The following is a 23,510-nucleotide window of genomic DNA, read 5'->3' as shown; positions in this document are numbered from 1 at the left end:
TCAGGAGAGGAGGGGGTGTCACTCAGGGGGAAGAAGAGGCAGAAGGAGGCTGAGTGCTGTGAATGTCATGCTCTCCTTCCCAGCACCTCAGTCTGGCCAAACATGTTTTTCTGGCTTCTGGTAGTGCTGGGGAGGTGGAGGCTGAGAGGTTGTGTGTGTGTGTGTGTGTGTGTGTGTGTAATAGCACACTAGATTGGGAGCCTAGGAACATGGCTCTATTCCCAGGCCCTGGTGCAAAGAAGGCAGGGGACCTGGAGAGTCACACTTCCTCATCACACTCTGTCGCATCAGGAAGGCTAGCTAGGTGCCGTCTGAGGTCCTGCCAGCAGCCCCACCATCTTCCTGAATTGCTAACCTGAACAAAGACACAGATGCTGAAGCCTGACTGCCTGGGTCCAATCTCAGCTCTGCTACTGAGCAACTGTGTGATTATAGGCAAGTGAATTAACCTCTCTAGGCCCTCAGCCTCTGCTACGAAACAGGGATAATGACAGCCCCTGCTCTCGTGGAGTTGCTGTGAGGATTCAGTGAGTAAATGCATGTAAATCAGTAAATGCTCAGCAAATAGTCACTACCATTATCATTACTAGCCAGAGCCTTTATCCACAATCCTGAAATCCCAAACACTCTGAACACAGAAAGCTTTTTGAAAATTCATTTGGCAACTATTTTAAGTCTTTATTTATCCCATGGACTGTGAATATTCATTAGTTTCCCTGCAGAAGTGTTAGTGAGTTTGATTACAGGACACTGTCCCAGATCATGCTGGGGTGACAAAATTGTGGCATATCCACCATATTCCATTTCTGAAATCCAAAAAGTATTCTAAATCTTGAAACACTCCCGGCCTCAAGGAGTTTGAATAAGGTATTATTGCCCTGAGCTCTCTCTTTCAATTCTTTCAATAATCCTGAAAAGTAAATGCCCTTTATTCTCATTGTACAGACAGAGAAACTTAGGCTTGGAGAAGTTAAAGAACATGTCCTGGATGCCATGGCAGGTACACAGCAGGGCCCAGACTCAAGTCCTGACCTCTGACTGCAGACCTGATGGTGTTCCCCTCTGCAGGCCTCCTAGGTGGTCAGATTCCCAAGGCTCCCGAGAGCCTGTGTCTGGTTCAGTGCTGTCCCTCAGAGAGCTGAACACACCCCCTTGCCCAGTGAAGGTCCATCGAATGAACAACAGCATCCATGAGCAAAAGACATGGAATCCTCTTGGATGGGCAATCAGCTCCCCAAGGAGACTTGGAGAAAAAAAGGTGAACTCAATGAGAACTGTTCCCCTAGGAGCCTCCTAAGGTGCCCTGCCATCTGTGCCCAAGATGGAGTCAAGCTTAGTTGGGTCCGTTTCTGGCTCTGCCCAAGCTCACTTGCAACCGGACCCTAAGCCAGTCCCTGACCTGCTTGAGCCTGCATTTCATCATCCCTGTGGATGAGGGTAATAACAATTCTACCTCATATAGCCACTGTACTTGGCAGGGTCTTGGGGGCAGATTTGGTGAGGGGACCCGGGGCCTGTAGCACTCAAGGACAGCTGGAGCTGAATTGACCAGCTTCTTTTCCCCGGGGACTTCCTGCCACCTTCTCCCAAACCCTGGGAAAATGTGCTCCTCCAGCCACCTATGAGGAAATTCCCAGTGCCCAGAACAGGATCTTGCAAGCTACAGTTGAGCCTCCTCTCTGCAAGGCCTTGGAGTCATAGCTTCCTCCTAGGCTCCAGGGAGAGCGAGACGAAAGAGACCATGGCCACAGCACCCGTGCCCCTTGTCCACCCAGCTCACTGCAGCCCACAGCTGCCCTTCCTTCTGCCATGCACCTCCAGCAGGTGCTCCCTTCTGCAGAGTAAAGAGCCCCATAAGGGGCTTCCCTGGAGACACAGAAAGTGTGTGCTGGCCCCAATCTGCTTTAGCTCTTGCCTTCTGGAGACATGGTCTCAGTGGGCACAAGGTAACTTTGGACAGGTTTCCAGTTTAATAAAAGAAAGCTGTTTCTGTTGTCAGTTGAGCCTGCAATTCCTGCTTCAAACAGCCCCTTGAACCTGTTTTTCCTACATGTTGGGGTCCCCCAGGGGCCTTCCCCACTTGCCCACATGCCAGAACCTGGCTCCTCCTGACCATGCTTACCCAGCATTCGCTGCAAGGCCCTGCCTGCCTTCCCTCCCAATTCCACTGTTGAAATACAACATCCATCATGTTTCATTTGCCTAATAAGCCTCAGTCCCCATTCTGCTGGGTGATTAACCAGTCAGAATACCATGAGATCCCATCCGGCGCTTGGCAATCGCCACGGGAGGGGCAACCTTCCTCCTTTTGCTACCACCACCCCTCCCCGCATCTTTCTTTTCAAATGACCATGTGATTCCATTAAGTTCCGTGTGCAATAGCAATCATTCTGGAAAAACTGATTGTGACTCTCTTAATGACTGCTTGGTCGGATGTTAATGTAACGGGGGAAAATTTACACTGTCCTGCTTGCTGCAGCCAGAGCTGAAAAGGATTCCAGGCCAGTGCAGGTGGGGCATGGATGCAGGGAGGTGGGGCATGGATGCAGGGAGGTGGGGCATGGATGCAGGGAGGTGGGGCATGGACGCAGGGAGGTGGGGCATGGACGCAGGGAGGTGGGGCATGGACGCAGGGAGGTGGGGCATGGATGCTGGGAGGGTGGGGCATGGATGCAGGGAGGGTGGGGCATGGATGCAGGGAGGGTGGGGCATGGATGCAGGGAGGGTGGGGCATAAATGCAAGGAGGGTGGGGCATAAATGCAAGGAGGGTGGGGCATAAATGCAAGGAGGGTGTGGCATGCACCTATGGCTGATTGGCAGAATTTTATTAACAAAGTAATGTCTGTGTTTCTTAGAAAGGATTTCTCCACCTGTCAGGGGTGTCTGGGAGGAGCATGGTCATTCCCCACCCTGCTTTGGGGGCCCTACCCCTGGTGGCAGGGCTGGGGCCTTGCTTCCTTGCCCTGGCTGTGTGCCCTAGGACATATTACCAGAAGGACATATTAGGATAGAGCAGGAGATCCAGTCAGAGGTCAAGAGCTGACCCTGCTCTGCTGTAGCTGTGTGACCTTGGGCTAGACACCCACCCTCTTGGCAGCTTCCCACCGGAAATTAGTACAAGCCTGTGCCCTACCTCCCGGAGGCACTTTTGAGGCCAGAGGCAGACATTGCCAATCCAAGTAGCCATCCCCTCTGCTCCCTTCTTGCTAGCAGAACCCAGGCTGGGGTGCCAGGTCCTGCAGGACAGTGCAGGACTCCTCTCCAGCCTAGAGAGTAAAAGGTGCTCAGTCCAAGCCAGCCAGTGGTGGGTCAGGAGAGGCTACAGGATGCCATTCTGGCCAGAAGGCAGAGAGCCTACTGGGGCTTCTGGAAAAGTGCCTCTTGCTTCTAAAAAGTTACATCAAGAAGGGACATCTTGCTTCCTGCTTCTGGACACTGCTATGTGACAGTGTGATGCTGGGAGCTGCGGTGGTGTCTCACAAGCTTCTCACAAGCACGAAGGGATGTACCTGAGGACCAATGCCAACGTGCAGGGGATGGCAGGGAGAAAGAACCGAGAGTGCCTGGGTCCTCGATGGCATTGTGGAGATGCTGAATTAACTACAGCTGGAGCTGCTCACCTCATCCCCAACCTCTTCTGAAGGAGGAGAATACATTTGCATGACTGTTCAGCCAATCTGAGTCAGGTTTTCTGTTATATGCGGCCAACAGTATCTCTGTAGAACCTACGCAGGTAGGAGTCTTCTTTAAATGGTAAAGTTCTGAGCAAATGTAAGTGCTGGTGTTATTCTTTTAAGGGCTGTAATTAGAACCTAAATTGTGTCAACCATGAGGGTCAGGATGTGGCAATGATGAGCAGGCGAAGCAGACATGAAATGCATGTGCAGGGCGGGCAGAAGTACCTCCTGGGAGAATCTTGTGCAAGGGTCCTCACCCAGTAAATACCCAAGTGTTAGCTTTTGTAAGGAAATGGGCATTCCAAATGTTCTAGAACCTGTCACTTGGTTTCCCTCTTAGCCCCATTCCCAGGGACTCATGGCTGGCCCCATTGGGGTAAACGGCAAGGCCCACGATAAGTAAATCCAGATCAACCCTGGTGCCTAGCAGTTCTGCTTCAGAGCCCTCTGGAAGTGGAGCCCTCATTTCCCTCCACACACAAACAGCCCAACAGAGCTGCTCCAGGGCCCAGGGCCAGGGCAGGGAGAAAGAAGAGTCCTTACCAAAACCTGGACCAGGGGTTTGCTGTGGGTCCCAACAGGGCTTGTTCATGAGTACCTGTGAGATTCCTTTTGGAGATGCTCAGAAACACTTGGGGACCTCTTTGAGGGCTGGGGTCATGCCTTAGCGGGTGGGAGTGAGAATGGTGAGTTGGGCTGATACTGTGTTATCATTCTTCATGGGACCAGAGGAGGTGGGCCTGGAGGCTGGCCCAGAAGGGAGCTTGCACCCTCTCAGGCCCCAGCTCCTTTCTCCTATCCTCGGTGTTCTCTGAGTACAATGGCTATAGGGGGAGACGGGGCAGTTCTGAAGCCCAGGGACCTGACCACTCCGGAGCTTTCAGGTGGAGTGATTTGTACGGCAGGGATTAGAAACTGTTGTAATATTTTTCTTAATTGATTCTTCTAATTGCAAATCAGTAGAACTAATTTGCACCCTGGTTGGGTTTGTTTTGTTGTGAGGTGATGGGGGTCCCAAAGGACTCACTGTGTGAAGGGAAACTTAGGTGAGGTGAAATCAAACATACTTCAAACCATCACTCATGGATGGCCAGAGGAGCAGGGGCCAGGCACAGAGGGGCAGCTGGTTGCTCTCCTTTTCCACAACCCCGAGCTCACTACTACTGGGTGTGTAGGAGGAAAAAAAAAAAAGCCCAAAACATAAAATAGCAGGTGGGAAGGGCTGGCTGCCAAGCTGCCCCCTCCAGCCCAGAGGGTTGTCTCCTGACCCAGAGTAGAAGCAGCCTTTTTCTCCAGATTTCTCTCTGCAGCACTAAAGTAGTCTGGGAATTCATTCGCCTAGGCAATATGTCTCAAATGTTTCTTGGACATTTACTATGTGCCAGGCTCCAGATAGTGACTGGGGGTGCAATGGTGGACAAGAGAGCTGTGGCCTCTGCCCTCATGGAGACACTGTCATTAAATGACTGAGTCAGGAAGGATGCAGCTGCTAAGAACTGAATCCACTTTGGTTATGTATGCAGAAAGGGGTTCATCACAGAGTATTCAATGGCTTTCAGAGTTACAGGGAAGTCTGGAGAAAAGAGCATTAGTCTGAGCTTCTGGGAGTGACTCTTAAGAGGCAAGCCACTGAGAATGTTCCTGTCTTAGTCTGTTTTTGTTTGTTTGTTTGTTTGTTTGTTTGTTTTTGAGACAGTCTTACTCTGTCACCCAGGCTGGAGTGCAGAGGCGCGATCTTGGCTCACTGCAACCTCTGCCTCCCATGTTCAAGTGATTCTCCTGCCTCAGCCTCCCGAGTAGCTGGGACTACAGGCACCTGCCAGCACACCAAGCTAATTTTTGTATTTTTAGCAGAGACATGGTTTGGCCATGTTGGCCAGGCTGGTCTTGAACTCCTGACCTCAAGTGATCTGCCTGCCTCGGCCTCCCAAAGTGTCTTAGTTTGTTTTGTGCTGCTATAACAGAATACCTGAGACTGTGTGATTTATAAAGAACAGAAATTTATTTCTTACAGTTCTGGAGGCTGGGAGGTCCAAGGTTGAGGGGCCTGCATTTGGCAAGGGCCTTCTTGCTGCATCATCCTATTTCAGAAGGCAGAAGGGCAAGAGAGCACGAGAGCGAGCAAGAAGGAGCCCAACTTGCTTTTATAACAAGACCACTCTGGTGATGACTAGCTCACTCCCACCATAACAACATCTATCCATTCATATGAAACTTGCATTCAGACTGAATCACCTCTTTTTAGGCCCCACCTCCCAATGCTGTTACTTCCACAGCTGCATGTTCTAGAATCTTATTCCTCTGCAACAAGGTGGAAGCTTCATGCTGCCTCTCTTCCCTTTTGGCTCAGTTCTGAATTTCAGTTTCATGTGAGTCCATCTATTGGCAGAACCCAAATCAATGTGGAACCCTAGCTGCAAGGGAGTCTGTGCGCAGGTTGTAGCTCTCCAGGAAGAGCTGCTCAGAGGAAGAGGTGGGAATATGTAGTGGGTGAGCAAATTGACACTTTCCCACATAGCCACTGATTATTTAATTCAATTAAATGCCCTTGTGATGGTGCCTCCCAGGGAAATTGATAAAACGAATTGTCAAAAGGAACTTTACTAAACTCTTGCAAGAACCAAGAGGGAACTGAGAGTAGAAGTGGTTGGTGGGTCCACGCGTGGGCCCTCTAAAAACAACAACCTCAGGCCCAAAGGCATGACCACCATGTCCGCTGAAACTTGGCTCTGCTCCCTCCCCTTCCCAGTCCCCAGGCCTGTATCCCTGTGCTCCTGACGCATCTGTGTGACATCTTGATGGTCTCAATCTCTCCTCACACCACAAGCCCCTATCCCCTGTTCAAATGGTGTCCTGGGGCCTGCCCTTTGCCCTGAGCTCCCTGGACAGGCAGTGGTCTGGGCACAGTGAATGACCCACACTCTCCATGCAGACCACCAGCCCTGCCTGCCCCCAGAGGGCTCCACACTGACCCTTTCTGTGTGAATTCACCTCTCACCATCAGAGGAGTGACCTGGCCCATTATAGAGGACATATTATCCTCACACCTTATCCCAGTGGTTCTTGAAGTTTGATCCATGGGCCAATCAACATTAGATTTTTAATCGATAAAAATTCAGTTTCCCAGGCCCTCCCTCAGACATGCTGAATTGGGATCTCCAGGGGGAAGAAGCAGGAAATATGCATTTCTGCAGACTCCCCGGGTGGCTCTGATGTGCCTACCACCAAGAGCCACTTCTCTAAGGGCACAGGTTACAGGGAGGCAGTGTGGGACATGGGAGGCAGTGGGACTTTGCATCATAGCCCAGGTTTACCTCTTATTCTTGTTTAACCGTCTGATTCTAGTTGTCCTGCTCTGAAGCTCAGTTTCCTGACCTGAAAAATGGGAGTAAAGATACCCTCTGCTTCACTGTTTGCTGTGGCTGTGAAGTGATTATGCAAAGCCTTTGGTCAATAGGAAGGCGCTGTTTAAATACCTAGGTAGCTGTTATGAGCCTCAGTGAGTGTGACACGTAAGAGGCAGAGTTACACAATCCCAAGTAATTTTTTTAAAAACGTATGTTTTACTTAAAATTTTTCAAAGGATGTTAAAAGGGATTCAAATACACAGTCCACAGCTACAAGTATTAACCCCCTTCCCTCAAATCCCCTAAACCTCCCTCTTCCCCCAAGCCAGGTGGCCTTCTTTCCTCTTCTTCCTCTTCCCTCTCTCTCAGCCTTATATTATGTACAGATTAGTTCTCTCCCTCTCCCAGCGGGAAAAAGGGATAACTGAATGGAGATGAAGAAATTTTCCCTGGGAGATTGGGTGGGGGTGGGGGAGGTTGGTGAACATGATCACCTTCATACATTTTTGTTCTGTTGAATTAATTTGTATGAACACAGCAGTACCAGAAGAAGTAATCATTTTCAGTGTTCATATGTGATCAGTGTTAAGGGTGGGAAGTATCCATTCTCTTGTGGGAAAATGAAAGCCCATCTTCCCTCTTTCTCCCTCCCTTCTTTCCTCACTCCCTTCTTGCCTTCCTCCCTTCCTCTTCCTCCCTCCCTCTCTCTCTTTCTTCCCTCCCTTCCTTCTTTCCTCTATCTCTTGCTCTCTTCCTGTCTGTCTGTCTCTCTTTCTTCTGCTTATAAAACTGGGTTATTCTTTTTTTTCTTTCTTGAGACAGGGTCTCACTCTGTCACCCAGGCTGGAGTGCAGTGGTGTGATCTCTGTTCAGTGCAACCTCTGCCTCCTGAGCTCAAGCCATCCTCCCACCTCAGTCTCCTGAATAGCTTGGACTACAGACATCTGCTGCCATGCCTGGCTAATTTTTTGTGTTTTTTCTAGAGATAGGGTTTTGCTATGTTGTCCAGGCTTGTCCCAAACTCCTGACCTCAAACGATCTGCCCACCTCAGCCTCCCAAAGTGCTGGGATTACAGGTTTGAGCCACTGTGCCCAGCCAAAAAACTGGGTTATTCTTTTATCCAAGAATCATTTATTGGATCTGTAATATTTAACTAGTTTTCCTTCTGATTTCAAAAGTAAATCAATGCTTGTGTGGCAATGTTCAGATAGGGCAGATGAGCACATGGTCCAGAAGCCAGAGTCCCTCTAAGTGTCAGTTGCTCTGCCCATCAAATGGGGGAGACTTACACCCAGGAAGGGCTGAGACTGTGAGGCTCCTGTTGTCTTGCCTGGGCCTGGGCGACTGGCACCCTGAGCACTTCTCATGCTACTAAAGGAGTGGGAGCCCCCGGAGAGGGAGGCAAGAGCCGATGCTTGGTGGGGTGTGTTATGGGCATGTTTGCACCTGTGAAAATAAGTCTGGAGATGCTACAGTGGGTCCAGCCCTTGCCTTGGCCTTGTGGTGATGAGTCCTCTGTTCCCAGCCTTTGATCTGCAGCATTGCCCCCACCCCCTAGCCTGGCTCTTCTTGCTTCTTCTCTCTTCCCAGTACTGGGTGGCTCAGAGCACCCAGATGGAGCCCCACTGAGGCCTGCTGTCTCAGGGCAGGCAGAGCTGAACAGGCATCAGGGCTCTCAGCAGGAGGGAGAGGGGAGGATGGAAGAGGAGGGGAAATGAGAGGGGGAAGCTGATTCTGGGAGGCCTGGCTGGGGCTGGGGCAAAATACTTCAGGCTGGAAGGGGATCCTCTAAGCCACCTGAACGCCATGCAGAGTGGGGCTTGAAGAACTCAAGCTAGTTCCACCTTCTACAGGTGTCCCTGTCCTGCATAGGATTAATTTATTCATTCAATCAATCATTTGTTTATTCAACACATTTTTATTGATCCCCTTCCATATACCTGGCACTGTTCTAGGTACTGGGACAGAGCAGTAGATGGAAGAAAGGAAATACCTCTCCATATGGAGTTCCATTCTAGTGCAGGAGACAGACCATAAATAAGAGAAAGTAGAATGGATTATATGCTAGGGTGGATGAGTGCTGTGGAGAGAATAAAGCAGAGAAGAGAAATATGAGTGTCCGGGGTTGACATTTTCAAAAGAGTTGCCAGGGCGGGTGAAATGAGGATGGATGTGTGCGTCACCTAAAAGCCACATGTTGAAGCCCTAACCCCCAGTGTGATCGTGTCTGGAGGTGGGAACTTTGGGACGAAGCTAATTAGATTTAGATGAGGCCACGTGTGTGCCCCTCCCCACCACGATGGGATTAGTGTCCCTGTAAGGAGAGCAAGAGAGACCAGAGCTCTCTCTCTCTTCACCATGTGAGGACACGGCAAGAAGGTGGCCATCTGCAAGCCAGGTGCCTTGACCTTGGCCTTCTCAGCTTCCAGAACTAGGGAAAATACACGTCTGTGGTTTAAGCCACCCAGTCTGTGGTGTGTCATTACAGCAGCCTGAGCTAAGACGGAGCCTCTTTGAAATGACGACTTTGAGGAGAGACCTGGAGAAAGTGAAGAGGGGAGCAAGTGAACGTGTGGAGGAAGAACATTCTAGACAAAGGGGCAAAGGCCAAGGCCCTGAGGTGGGTGGGTGTCTGGCGTGTTGGAGGAGGAGCGAGGAGCAGTGTGGCTGGTCAGGGTGAGGGAGGCGGGAGCCATAGGAGGTGGGGTGAGCAGCAATAGGCCCCGTCAGACAGGGCCTCGTTGGTTGTATACAGTAGAGATTTGGGCTTTACCTCTGAGAAAATGGCAACCATTTTCAGAGTTGCAGAGATGTAGCACAATCACACTGAAGCTTTAGCAGAATCCGGTAGCCACTGGGTGGAGCCTAGGCTGTAGGGTCAAGTGTAGAATATGGAGGCGAGGTGGGAGGCTCCTGGGAGCATGTAGGTGAGAGGTGCTGGTGGCTGGTGCCAGGCTGGGAGTAGTGGGAGGTGGTCAGATTCTGGATATGGATGGAAAGTGGATCCAGCTGTGTTTGCCGGCAGACAGGCCGAGGTTTTCTCAGGTGGTGGTGCTGCCCATGGCCAGGTGGGCCGCAGGCCTGTGGTTCCAGCAGTCAGTCCACTCAGGAGTCCTCGACTGCCTATGGAGAGCGCTGGCAGGAGCTGGCAAGTGTGAGGCCCAGGCTGTCAGAGCTGGACTCACTCCTGGCCTTGCTGTGTGAGCTGGCGAGGCAGCCCCGTGGAAAGGTGGCTGAATGAAGTTTGGGGAGCACACAGTGGGGCTGGGGAGTGGCAGGAAGTTGGGGGTGATGAGAGCAGAGTCCAGAGTTGGACCTGCCTCAGCAGGGCCCTTTGCCCCGTGGGCTGGTGGGACCAAGACACGCTCCCCTGGCCCTGGCCTGGCCGTGAGTGCTGTGCTGAGGTAGGGCTGGCAAAACACAGGGGCTGTGTTTCTAAACTGTACCTCCTGCCTCTCACTCTCAAAGCCCCCTCTCCTCCGGCTGGCCCGCACTGAGGAGAGCCCATCATGGGGCCCAAGGGGAGCCACTGCAAGAGGCTCGGGAAGCAACTTCTCTGGGGCCCTTGCTTTAGAGCAATGGTCAGCAAACAGAGACAATACTCCCATTCCATGGAGGCATTAGCTGATGTCTGGAGACATTTTTGTGTGTCCCCACTGGGGCAGTGCTACTGACAGCTAGTAGAGGCCAGAGGTGCTGCTAAACCTGCATTACACAGGACAGTCCCCCAAAGCAGGAATCCCCTGAATCATCCGTCCCAACATGTCGGCAGTGCCAAGACTGAGAAGACCTGCTTTAGAGACACCTTAATTCACCAACCTTCCCAAGTGTGGCAGCTTGCAAAAAAATGGGCACAAATTCCCCCCAATACCGGTATGTACACCCTTTATCCCAGTAAGAGGTGAAGTGGATTTCTCTGCCTCTTGCGACTTGCACTGACCAATTGAATGCAGAGGAAGTTATGTCATGGAGCTTCTGAGCCCAGACCTCAAGAGGTCCTGCAGCTTCCACTGTTGTTCCCTTGGAGCCCCTGGCAGCAATGAGGAGCAGCCATGGGCGAGCTGCCAGATGAGTGTAGCTGCATGAGTGACTCCAGACAAGACCAGCAGAAGACCCGCCCAGAAGAGCCCAGCCCAAACTACTGGCCCACAGAAGAATGAGGAAATAGAATGGTGGTTGTTTGAAGCTACTAAATGTTGGGGCTGTTTGTTTTGCACTGACTACACTGACAGCAGGTGCATTTTAAAGGGGATGTCTGAGGACCTGTGGAGGCTGAAGTGACTCCATCTTGGATGCTAATGTGCCATGCTGACTTCTGATTAACCCCAGCTCCAGGAAAGCCTCTAAGATCTCTACTTTCATGTAGTTGCTGTAAATCCTGCCCTTAGATCAAAACAACCTTGATGTTACCATAAACACATACTTACTATAAATCCTGCCCTTAGGCAAATTCCCTATGGCATACGAGCCCTGGGTCTGGGGGTAGCAGTGCAGGCGTCCACCATTGCGCCTTGCAGCCACCCAAGACATGGGTTGTTCGTGAGTCCCTATTAAATGTTTCTTTCTGAGAACCTGGGTTTCTTGGCCTCTTTCTTTGGCCTCTCAGCTTCCTTAGGCTTTGGGGCTAGGTTTGCATAGAACTACTCACCATAGAACAGGATCATATGTTTTAACCCAGAGGATTAGTGGGCTCACCTCAGTCAAAGGAAGGCCGTTGAAGTGGATTTTGCCTCAGCAGCAGAATCCTTCCTGTTGATGAAATCACTCTAGGTGAGTAACTGCCAGTGCAGTCTGGATCCCGTGTGCGTACAGAACAGGCAATGATCCCGGCCTATTGGCCACAGGTGGGGTGAGAGGAGCAGCTGGGATAATGGAGAGCAGATTGGTGGCCAGCCGCTGGGCAGAGGGCGGGGCTCCGAAGTGAGATAGCATGGGCAGGACTGCCAGCTCCACCGCCCGCAGCCACCTAACCTTGAGCAGGTCGCTCTTCCTCTCCAGACCTCTGCTTCTCCTCTGGAAAGGGATGATAATACCTCTCTCAGGTTTATTGGGAGGATTAGATCAGATTAGATGAGACTATGTATATGAAGGACTTAGCACCGGGCCTGGCACTGAGAAGGTACAATAATGGCTTGTTGACTGATTAAACAGACACACTGTTTGGACTAGGGTTTGGCTGACAGTAAAGGGTATAAAAGGATCTTTCAGGCTGTGTGTCCTCTTAAGTGCAGGAGGGTCTTTCAAAAGAGAAAAAAAAAAAAAAAGAGAAGAGAAAAGAAAAAAAAAAAAAGGATTGGGAGCTGTAGGAACTAGGTTATTGCTAGATACTTCCAGAATGGATGTCCCTAGATGGAAAGGAAACGCGGGTTTAAATCAGTTTGGCATTGATAGCAGGAGGCAGGAAAACAGTTGGTCTTAATATTATTCCTGTGTGAGCCAGCATGTGGTGTGGGTTTTAATTTAAAGCAGGCATTTAGTGAGTTGATAAACAGGAGTGTGCACCTCCTGCCCTCCCACGCCCTGAGCCCCAGAAGAACAATTATCCTGGAGAGAAGATGAAAGGAACATATGGAAATGAATTCTAATAATATGGAGCAGGCAGGCAGCACCTGCTTTCTCACGCGGGCTTTGAGGGGGCTCGAGTCGAGACTGTGTACACACCAGCAGGTAGCAGAGGTCAGTCGAGGCCACCCTGACTGGTTCACTCCACTGGAGCAGTTCTGTGCTGTGGGATGGAGACGGGGCTGAGAACTTTTGGGGCCTCTGTTAATGGCGTGGTCTGAGGCATGCCTCCACTGGCGCCGTCTCTGCGGTGTTGTGCGTATTCAGATAAGCCAGGCTGATTGTTTTGTTTCATTGTTTGTTTGTTTTTTACCTTCCCCCAAATGCTGACACAGAATGGGCACATAAGAGGCCAGCCTCTGTCTAAGGTTACCAGACTCAATTTGGAGATAGTAGTTTGGATTCTCAGTTACAATTCTGGCATCCACTTCAAACCAATCAGGCAAAAGGGGAGATTGACTGAGCTGTGGGATTCACCTACAGAAAGAGCAGGGGCAATGGGCTCCATCAGCTGCTGTCACCAGCGTGGCTCTCAGGGTCTTTCACCCATGTCAGTGTCACTCTCTGAGACCGAGCACCGGACTGCTCATAATTCCCAGCCATAGATTTCCAGTTTTGCCAACAAGGGGAAAAGACTCTCTTTCCTTAGTTCCCAATTGAAAAGTCCCTAGGAAGGGCTCTGCAGGCCCTGCTTGAGTCACATCTCCCACCCCTGTGCCGTGGCCAGTGATGGGTGCACTGGTTCACTGTCTCCTCTGCAGCCTCACCAGTGGGTGGATGAAGGGAAGGGACAGCTCCCAAAAGAAGTGAGAGTGCTGTTGCCACAAAAGCGAAAAGTAGTGGGCAGTGTTGTCTGTGGGGCCACGGAAGTCATAATGGGGATTTCTTGAGTCATTTCTACTCTTCCTTAAAGCCCAACATAAACTCAAAACTCCATCCACGAGTCGGTTATCCATGCCAACTGAAATGTAGCTCACTATGCTGGCCCAGTCATATCCTCACCTCCTTCTGCTGCCCCGAAGTCCATCTCGGTAGTTTTACGTCTTTAATGATTCAACTTGGGGGAAAAATTAATCTTTACAGAATGAATGAGGTTGATTTTTATTTCGCAGTTGTTAAAGACAAATATTCTATTTCTGAGGACAAACTTGGGGCAGACTATTTTCCTCTAAGGGCCTCTTTACATAGAGAACACATGCTTACCTGACATGAGGAACAAAGAACGATCTGTATTATTGTATCACTTAGCACCAGGTTCAGCTGCATATAACATTGAATAATAATGGCTTCAATGCACTGGGGTTGTGTCTTACTCAGAAGTTTGGAAGCATATGCTGGGGGACAATGCTCCATAAGTCTCCCACGTTTTCATTTGTCTTATAAGCAGAGCCATGGGTGGCTTTTGTTCCAGATCATCTTTGCAAAGATGTTTTATAGGCTCAGAACATACAGATAGTGTCATTCTCTGTGTCAAAGGGTGGATTTGCTTGCTGTCCAGTATGATAAAGATAACGTCTTGCTCAGGGCAAGGGTGGGGAAGGTTTATTACCAGCCCTGTTGTAAAGGATTGGGACTTCCCAAGCTTGGGTTCCTCAGCTGTGACCTAAACCTCCTGCATTTGCAGCATCTACCTGGACTGCTTTGCATTGCCCCAAGGGACCTGGGGACAAGAGGAACTAATGCAAACTGACATGAACATGAACTTCATGCCACTTGCTGTAACATGAGTGATAAAGTCCATTGTCTCTGACCAGGATTCTCATGTCTTCTGCTAGTTTGCATGACACTCTGGCAGGTTAACTTGTTAACTTGCAAGTAGGGTAAAATTTCAGACCTTTCACAGTACTTGACACTATACAGTAAAGGGCTGAAATGGTGACTCCACAAAGTAATCTAGGCCAGGCTTCTTTTGCTTTACCAGTCTCAAGATTAGCTCATGGTGCAAGATGGCTGCTGGAGCTCCAGTCAGCACATCTGCATTCCCAGCAGCAGAAAAGAGGAAAGAGGAAGGACAAAGGCAACATCTCCCAGACCTCCTGGATTTCCACACAATACTCCATATGCATCTCACTGGCCATCACTTTATTTGGCTTTGCCTAGCTGCAAGGAAGGCTTGGAAATGTAGGCTTTTTATTTTTATTTTTATTTTTGAAGTCTCACTCTGTTGCCCAGGCTGGAGTGCAGTGGAGTTATCTTGGCTCACTGCAACCTCCATTTCCCAGGTTCAAGCTATTCTCCTGCCTCAGCCTCTGGAATGCTGGGATTACAGGCATGCGCCACCACACCCAGCTAATTTTTTTGTATTTTTGGTAGAGACAGGGTTTCACCATGTTGCCCGGGATTGTCTTGAAGGCTTGACCTGAAGTAATCCACCCGCCTCGGCCTCCCAGACTGCTAGGATTACAGATGTGAGCCACCACGCACAGCCAGGAAAATGTAGTCTTTAGGCACAACGCAATGCTGTCCCAGGCAGGGCTTTGTTACTACTGAAGAAGAGAGAATGAACTTGATGGGTGGCAACTAGCAATCTCTGTCCCAGTCCCCACCTCCTGCTGTTGTTCCTAGTCTGGTGGTAGAGACAGGAAAGAGTTCCTCATCTGAGCATAGCGCCTGCTGAGGAGGAAGAAGGAGAGGGGAGGCCCCATGGTAAACAAGTTTAGGGAAGGGTGCACTAGTTGCCTTACCCACTCTCAGCCAAATAAAACACCCTCTACTCCACCCCAGGAGCTCAAAATCTAGATGGAGGGATGGGCATGTGGATCATGAATCACAGAGCATGGGGAAAAGTAGTGATCAGAGCTGGGTTGAGGTCAGCCAGCCTAGCGAGTTGAAGGAGCACTGACAAGGGATGGCTACATTAACTGGAGATTAGGGAAGGCTTCCTGGAGGAGGCGATGCTTGACTTGAGTGTGGAAGGATGAGTACAAGTTCACCGACTCATGGGCTTGGGGTAGGGCTGCTAGATAAAATACAGGATGCTCAGTTAAATTTCTTTCTTTCTTTCCTTTCTTTCTTTCTTTCTTTCTTTCTTTCTCTTTCTTTCTCTTTCTTTCCTTCTTTCTTTCTTCCTTCCTTCCTTCCTTCCTTCCTTCCTTCCTTCCTTCCTTCCTTCCTTTCTTTCTTTCTCTCTCTTTCTCTCTTTCTCTCTCTCTCTGTCTCTTTCTTTCTTTCTTTCTTTTTCTTTCTTTCTTTCTTCTTTCTTTCCTTCCTTCCTTCCTTCCTTCCTTCCTTCCTTCCTTCCTTCCTTCCTTCCTTTCTTTCTCTCTCTTTCTCTCTCTCTCTCTCTGTCTCTTTCTTTCTTTTCTTTCTTTCTTTCTTTCTTTCTTTCTTTCTTTCTTTCTTTCTTTCTTTCTTTCTTTCTTTCTTTCTTTCTTTTTTGATGGAACCTCCCTCTCAGGCTGGAGTGCAGTGGTGCAATCTTAGCTCACTGCAACCTCTGCCTCCCGGGTTCAAGCGATGCTCCTGCCCCAGCCTCCTGAGTAGCTGGGACTACAGGCGCACACCACCATGCCTGGCTAATATTTGTATTTTTGGTAGAAACGGGGTTTCACCGTGTTGCCCAGGCTGGTCTCGAACTCCTGACCTCAGGTGATCCACCCGCCTTGGCCTCCCAAAGTGTTGGGATTATAGGTGTGAGCCACCGCACCCGGTCTAAATTTCAATTTTAGATAAACTACATATAATTTTAGTATAAGTATAGCTCATGTAGTATTTGGAGCATACTTATACTAAGAAATTATTTGTGGTTTATCCGAAATACAAATTCACCTAGCCTCCTATATTTTTATTTGCTAAATCTGGTAACTTTATGTGGGGGTGAGGGCATACCAGGTATGAGGAACTCACTAGAGAAGGCCAGGGGAGGGGGAGCTGAATGCAGGTTGGCAGGCTGGAGTGAGTGAGGAGGGGTGTTCAGAAGGGGTGTGGGGGTGAGGCTGGGAAAGGAGGCAGGGCAAGGCATTGTCCGCTTAATACTGATAAGGAGTATCTATTATCCAACAGTTATTGGAGCAATTACCATGTGCCGGGAACTCTGTCAAGCACTTTGGTATTGACTCACTTAATTCTCACGTCATCACTAGGAGGGAGGTGCTTGTATTATTTCCATTTCACTGATGAGGAAATCTAAAAGTTAAGAAATGGCCAGGCAGTGGTGGAGTCGGATGCAAACCCTGGTGTAGGCCAGGCTATTCCTCATTGGAATTTTTCATGGGGCTTCCTGGGCCTTATCTCATTCTCTCGGTCTTCCTGTGATGCCGGTGACGGTAGGCAGGGCCAGCAACCATGGAGCTGCCCTGAACAGAGGAGAGAGTGGGTGGGAGGCCCAGGCAGGTTCCTTAAAGGCAGGGATCCCCCACTCAGAGAACAGCTAGTCCAGAGGTGCCCACACCCTGCACCCAGGTGCCCTTATGGGAGCTGAGGTGCCCCTCTTTGAGGGAACCTTGCAAGCGGAGACTGAAAATGCGCAGGATTCCGGCTGGAGCACCTCTGCTTTTATGCACAGTCTGTACTGGGCATCTGTGAGACGCTGCACTTGAATAAACCGCTCAGCGCCTCTCAAAATAAGCATCTTGCTGGTGGCCCAACTCCCTCCTTTTCCAGAAGAGAAAGCTGAGCTCCAGGAGGGGTTGAGTAGGGGTGATGTGCTTGCTAGGGCAGCCGGGTCTCCAGCTCTCAGTTCTGTGAAGCCTGAGGACCACTTCCACATTCTCTGCTCCCTGGGACTCCATGGCACCTGCATCTAAGGAAGCAGTGGGCTGGCCTGACGTCTCCATCAGACAAAGGCACTTGGCTCAACACTGCTGAGAAGCATCAAGGGCTCCCCAAGTGCTTGCCCAGCACACCCGGCAGGGAGAGCAGGCCCTGAGCCTCAGCCTGCCTGAAAGGCCCTGGGGAGCCAGGTGCTCAGAGCTCCACACTGCGGACTTGTTCCGCTGGGCTGCCTGGACCCTTCCGGGCAATGGTGTTAGGGGTCTGGATTTTGGGCGGGGCTATGATTGGCGGGTCCCGAGGGTTTACAGAGCAGTTTACAGCGCTTGGCTGGAGTGGTCATGCCAGGGGCCTGGGGGCCAAGAGAGCCCCCATGGATACCTGCCCCAGGCCATGCCCCCAGTCCACGCCTTCCCCCCACCCCCCACCCGCTGCTGCCTGGGGTGGTGGCTTGGCTGGGCAGCCTATTGTTGCCCACGAAATGTTTAGGAATCAGCCATTTAATGAGAACAAAAGGAATTAATTGGTGGTTTAGGCCTAATGAGACCGCTGTGCAAATTAACAGTCCTCATCAGCAGAAACAAACAGAGCCCTTAAATGAATTGCCGAACAGCATTAAACTGAATAAGCTTTTGCCGGGATGATAAATAGCAGGTCAGGGGAGACCATCTGGCCCCTTCCCCGCAGCTTCCTTCCAGAGAGGAGGGAGAGAGGGAGGGAGAGAGGGAGGGAGGGGCCCAGCTGGGGCCAGTCGAGCGCACACTCACACTCACTCTGTCACACACTCACGCTCGCACACTCACACACATTCACACAGTCCATCTGCACACGCACAGCCACATGTATCCATTCACACACTCGTCAACACATTCACACACATTTATTCACACATAGCCACCCACAAACACACATTCCCACTCACATGTTTATATTTGCACGCATATTCACACACATACACCCACATGCACACACACACTAGCTGACAGCCCATGTAGGCAGAAGGCGCAGCGGCCAAGTGCTGCATTGGTTTCTAAGGCCGGGGTGTTGTGCCAGGTGTTTTCTGCCCAATCCCCTCCTCCCCCCAGCCCCCTACCCTGGCCTCCTGTGCTCCCGCCTCCCCTGCCCTGTGTGGGCAGGGTGCAGCAGCAACTCAGAGGAGGTCACAAGGCCGTCCGGGTGACTCTCAACATAACTGACATCCCCTCCTGCAGGAGCAGCTCCTTGAATGAGGCGCATTGGGTGGCCACAGTCTCCCGCCCTGGCCATCCCAGCTCCTCATGCACAGGCAGTAGAAGGCACCTGGCTAACACACGGTGCAGATTCTGGGACAGAAACCTTCAACGGCCCCTCAGTGCCTATGCAGTATAGAGTGAGCACGTGATATCTTTTAAATAAGATAATTAATTTATTCATCAACTCATGTATTCATTTAACAAGTATTTCGGAGTGTCTGGCCCTGTGCTAGGTGTTATGTAACACAGTAATGATTTAAATTGGCCAAGGTTCTCAAGGGACTTACATGGGTTGAGAGATGAGACAAGAAAACTTAACGTTAAGTGCCATGAAGAAATTGGTCAGTTTCAGTGATAAAAGAGACAGTGGAAGGACCTACTGTAGGAAGGTGGTCAGGGAAGTCCTCCCTGTGCAGGTGATGTCTAAATGACTCCTGAAGGATGAGGAATCTGCCATGCAAACACGGGGTGGAAGGACATTCCTGGAGCAGAGGACAGCACGTGCCAGGGCCCAGAGGTTCATGTGTGGCCTTTGCAAGGAGGAGGAGGGAGAGTGGGGCAAGTTGAGCTTGGCAAGTTTAGCAGGACCCAAGCATGCAGCCAATGGGGAGTTGGAATGAACCAATGAACGGCAATTGTTAGAGTTGAAAGCATAGGCAAAAACAGAAAACCACAAGGAATCTCAACTCCAAATTTAGAGATTTTCAACCAACTAATGGTTACTGAGTAGCTCCTGGGTGTAGCTCTGAGCCAAATGCCATGGGAAAGAGAATGATGTGTGTGTGGCCCCTGGCCTCACACTGGTGACAGCCTGCTTTGGCATGGATGGCCTCTCCACACCCAGCACCTAGTGGGTGTGACCTGGATCTAGCCTAGCAGGGAACTGCAGAGATAAGCTGAGGCTCCTGGGGTCTCCTTACCACTGAACCCCAGACATTCAGGAGGAGGTAACAGGACGTTTGGCACGGTCAGGAAACTTCCCAGGGAGGAGGGAACATTGAATTGGGCAAATGGGTAACAATTTTGGGTACTAGTGCTTTTCTGCCAGGCACTGTACATACCCCCAGCCTTCTCTACCTGCCTGTAAGGTTCAGAGCACTAGCCCATTTCATAGAGGAGGAAACTGAGGTGTAGACAGGGAATTAGACCCAATGCATAATGGAAGTGGGATTTGGCCCTAGCGCTGCCTGGCTTTTTCTATTCTTACTGAGAGACCTTGATACTGAGTGCCTGGGTCATGGGCTCTGGGCCTTTTGCCTTCATGGGCCCCTTCCTCCATATATGTATATCTGCATTGGTATAAAGATGAACCTAATGCAAGCTAGATTATATTCATTATCTTCTGATTTTAAAAGCAATTAAAACATTTTCACGGACCCCTGAATGCATGGTGGCCCTGGGCACTGTGCTGACTGTGCCTAAAGAATAAATTGGCCCTGCTGGGGAGCATTCCCTGCTGCCCCTCCAGAAGTACCTTGTCACTCCTCCAGATCCTGCAATGACCTCCCCAAATTCCAGGAGCTCATCCTCCCTCACCAAACTCCCAGACTGAGCCTGGCACCGGGAGACATGCCACCGGGGAGGCTTTAGCTCACCTAGCTCTAAAGTTGAGCCTCTGAGGGCAGCTGGACAAATAAATTGGCTGCCTGGGAATGTATGTCAGTGCTGATGCAGGGACAAGAGATTGCTTGTCTTTTTTCCTGGAACCAGAGCTTAAATTCATCGGCATGATAAATGGTTTGGCCTCCACTATTAAGGCTACCTCCATAACTCAGAGCTCCAAAGAGGCCCCAGAAACATCAGTCTCATTTTTGTTGTTTTTCTTGAGGCAGGCGAGGGCCACACTTAAAAGATGGAGAAAAAACCGGCCCAGCCCTCCTGCTGTGCCCTGGGGGGCGAGGCTGGGAATGCTGGAATTCCATGTTTGCGTGCCGCAGTGGCCAACCCCTAACCATTACCAGCATAAGGCCCCACTTCCCACTGCTTCCAAAGCGCTCCAGAGACCACAGTTCTTTTGGGGTGCCTCCCTGGCTCAAAGACCTTTGGTGGCACCTCTTTGCCTGCAGAAGGAAAGCCACATGCCTCAGCTTCGTTATCCAGGTCTTTCCAGGATCAGGGCTCAGTTTACTTTTTTATGACATTTTCCCACGAAACTTTTTTCCCACCCTTAAAAACCTGTTCAGTATCTCCAGGTCCTTGTTGGTCCTGGCTGTTTTCCCCTCCTGGAATGTACGTTCTCCTCTAGGGAGCCCTCTGAGAAGTTCCATTTATTAGAATTACTTTTCCCTTCTTTTTATCGTCACGGACTGTGTTTGGATTGCTCATAGTTGCCTATGTGTGCCTCTGTCTCCTCCTACTGTGAGAACACTTCAAAGATGGGGACCTGATTTGATTCAACCTTGTTGCTCATACAGGCTTAACGTGGTGCTCTGCACATATAGGAAATGCCTCCTAAGTGTGCGTGAAGTGATTTGAATTTTCAATGGGGAATCACCTTGGTCCAGTTAGATAGTCTGAGGGGTACACAGTTCTATTTTAATCAGAGACCTTTGCTTAGAGGCAGACCTGGTTTCCCCATTTTTTAACCAGAAGAAGCCTTGACCTTGACTCATATGCCCCTTTGGCCTGGGAGAAACTCAGGACACCAGGTTTGGCAAATGCATTGGTCCAGGAATCCATAAATATTGACTCATTGTTTGCAGAGTAATTTAAATGTCAGTTATAAGCCCAGGGCAGTTAAAGATCTGTATCAACAATAAAACTGGATACAAGCCACCAAGCCCTGGGGAAGGAGCTTTGGGTTAAGATGGAAATGGAATATGCAGGCCTTGGGGAGAGAGGGCATTAGAGGGGGAGACAGATCAATGGCTCTGGGAGACTTGGCTGCCAGAGGTACTTGGGCTGGGAGATGCTCGCTCATTACCATGTCTGTCATTTGTGGATGGAGGCTGTCCCCCATTCATCCATCATCCATCCATCCATCCGTCCACCCACTGTGGAATTCCATTCCTCAGCTATTCAGAGAGCAACAGACAGATCCACATTCACACTCGGAGACATGCACACCAGAGTAAAGATAAGCACTTCCATAGACACAGAGAAACAGCGATAAAGAGACATAGGGAGAGACAGAGATGGAGATGCTGATGCCCTCAGAGAAGGAAATATATAGACAAAGAGAGGCAGGTGAAGGGAAAATAGGTAAACCCCACAGCAGGAGAGCACTGCCAGGGCTTGGGCACAATTGTGCATCGAAGGGCAGTGGGCCAGGCTCTGATCTGGAACAGGGACCCTAGTTCTATCTCCAAGGGGTAGTGTTGCTCAGTGGTTAAGATTCAGAGCTTAGAAATTAGGTGGAGTTCAAGTCACAGCCTCCCACATTTTAGAGGTTTGCGATATTGGACTACTAACTCAGTTTCTTCATCTTTAAAATGCATATCTCGTGTAAGAGATGAGGATCCTTACCTCATCGTTTTGGAAAGGTTATGTGAAGTGATGAATAGCAAATGCTTAGCGCACTATCAGCCCTCTATAAATGCTAGGTCTTATCACTGTAGGTTGCAGACTTTCCCTAACCCACTGTGTGAACTTGAGGAAATGGACTCCTCTCTCTGTGCCTTGGTTTCCCCATCTGTGAAATGAGGAGGGATAGCTTTGAGAATTCCCGGGTCCCAATCTTCCTTCACTGCCCTCCCACCTCCATGCCACCTCTTGTCTATGGTTCTTTGTGGCTGCCCTGAGTAAAAGGCTTCCTTTCTTGGCAGAAGGTGCCCTCTCTGTCTTTGATTTCATTTAGCCGCAGTCAGACCCAACAAATGAATTGCTTCCCTCCTCTCAGCTGACACCAGGAAGCAGCCAGCCTGACAGCTCTCCAGGAGGGATCGATTGGAGGATGTCTGATTTCAAAATGAACCACAGCACAGCTTTGAGATGTTGAACCAGACCTGCCATTGTTCTGGGTCAGGGCTGCTGGGCAGGAGCTGCTGTCTCACCCTGTGATCCTACTGGGGCTGTCAGGGATGGCAGAGCGCAGGCTGATCCGTGTGCTGCGTGGGCTCCCCGCCGTCCACGGGAGGCCCCTGGGGTCCATGAGTCCAGTCTCTCATCCAGGAAGTACCCACCACCCTCCTTTTCCTAGGCTTCGTGATAAATATCTGCTGACCTCAGAGGCTCAGCCTGAACACCCCTGTGCCTGGGAACTCACTAGCTCTCCACTTTTGAATGCTTCTTAGTGTTAGAGAGCTGTTTAGCCTGTTGACACGGAGACACTGTGACAATGATGAGAATGAGAATCATCCCTTACTTTTGTATGAGATGTGTTAAGAAGGCGATGCAGCTGAAAAGAAGATCTTAAGTTCTCTGTTGTTAAGAGGCAGGTAAGTAGAAGGAAAAAAATCCCCAGGAGTACCATCACCGCCTCTGTGGAGCTTTCTTTGCTCAGTGCCATTGCCACATGCCGTCCCTGCCCTGTCAGAGCACTCGTGTGTGCTACAGGGACATGGTCACTTAGTAGGCCTGTTTTCCCAACTAGGTGGTGAGCTGTGGAGGTGGGAAAGGTGTCCTGCTCTACTGTTTCTGCAGGTGGCTAATAAATATTTGCCTCATGAATATATACTACATTCTGTAATTTTAGCACATGTGAACCACAATTGATTTTTACAATTTAAGATTTTATCAGAGTTTATATATATATATATATATATATATATATATATATATAATATACCCTGTTTATCTATATATGCGCATATTGTCTACAAAGCTTATTGATATTACAATACTTCCAGGGGAAGAAGGCAGTTCCCTGCCATCCTCTTCCCCAGCCTCCAGTCCTACTTCCTTTAGGCAATCATTTTCACTACTTTTTTTTCTGTATTTTTCAGCTCCATATATATATATATTTTTATTTTACTTTAAGTTCTGGGATACATGTGCGGAACATGCATATCCATATTTTGATTAATATAATTTTACCTCTGT

General features: G+C 49.9%; 1 long non-coding RNA gene across 1 annotated transcript in view, besides 2 other annotated features; it reads left to right on the top strand.

The window, feature by feature from the left end:
• The window catches only part of LOC101929129 (uncharacterized), a 52,221-nt gene that overhangs the window by 15,497 nt on the left and 13,214 nt on the right, over window positions 1–23,510 (top strand). The gene's annotated exons all lie outside the window — the stretch shown is intronic.
• Window positions 8,512–9,013: an enhancer, noted in NCBI's record as "H3K4me1 hESC enhancer chr15:70292527-70293028 (GRCh37/hg19 assembly coordinates)". NCBI's record gives its function as "activates a minimal SCP1, AML or CMV promoter by ChIP-STARR-seq in naive H9 embryonic stem cells {active_cell/tissue: H9 hESC(naive)}" and the evidence as "EXISTENCE:reporter gene assay evidence [ECO:0000049][PMID:30033119]".
• Window positions 17,665–18,553: an enhancer, noted in NCBI's record as "NANOG-H3K4me1 hESC enhancer chr15:70282987-70283875 (GRCh37/hg19 assembly coordinates)". NCBI's record gives its function as "activates a minimal SCP1, AML or CMV promoter by ChIP-STARR-seq in primed H9 embryonic stem cells {active_cell/tissue: H9 hESC(primed)}" and the evidence as "EXISTENCE:reporter gene assay evidence [ECO:0000049][PMID:30033119]".

The sequence above is a fragment of the Homo sapiens genome, chromosome 15 (genome assembly GCF_000001405.40).
Source record: "Homo sapiens chromosome 15, GRCh38.p14 Primary Assembly".
NCBI lineage: Eukaryota > Metazoa > Chordata > Mammalia > Primates > Hominidae > Homo > Homo sapiens.
Note: the sequence above shows the minus strand (reverse complement) of the source record. Positions and strands in the feature narration are given on the sequence as shown.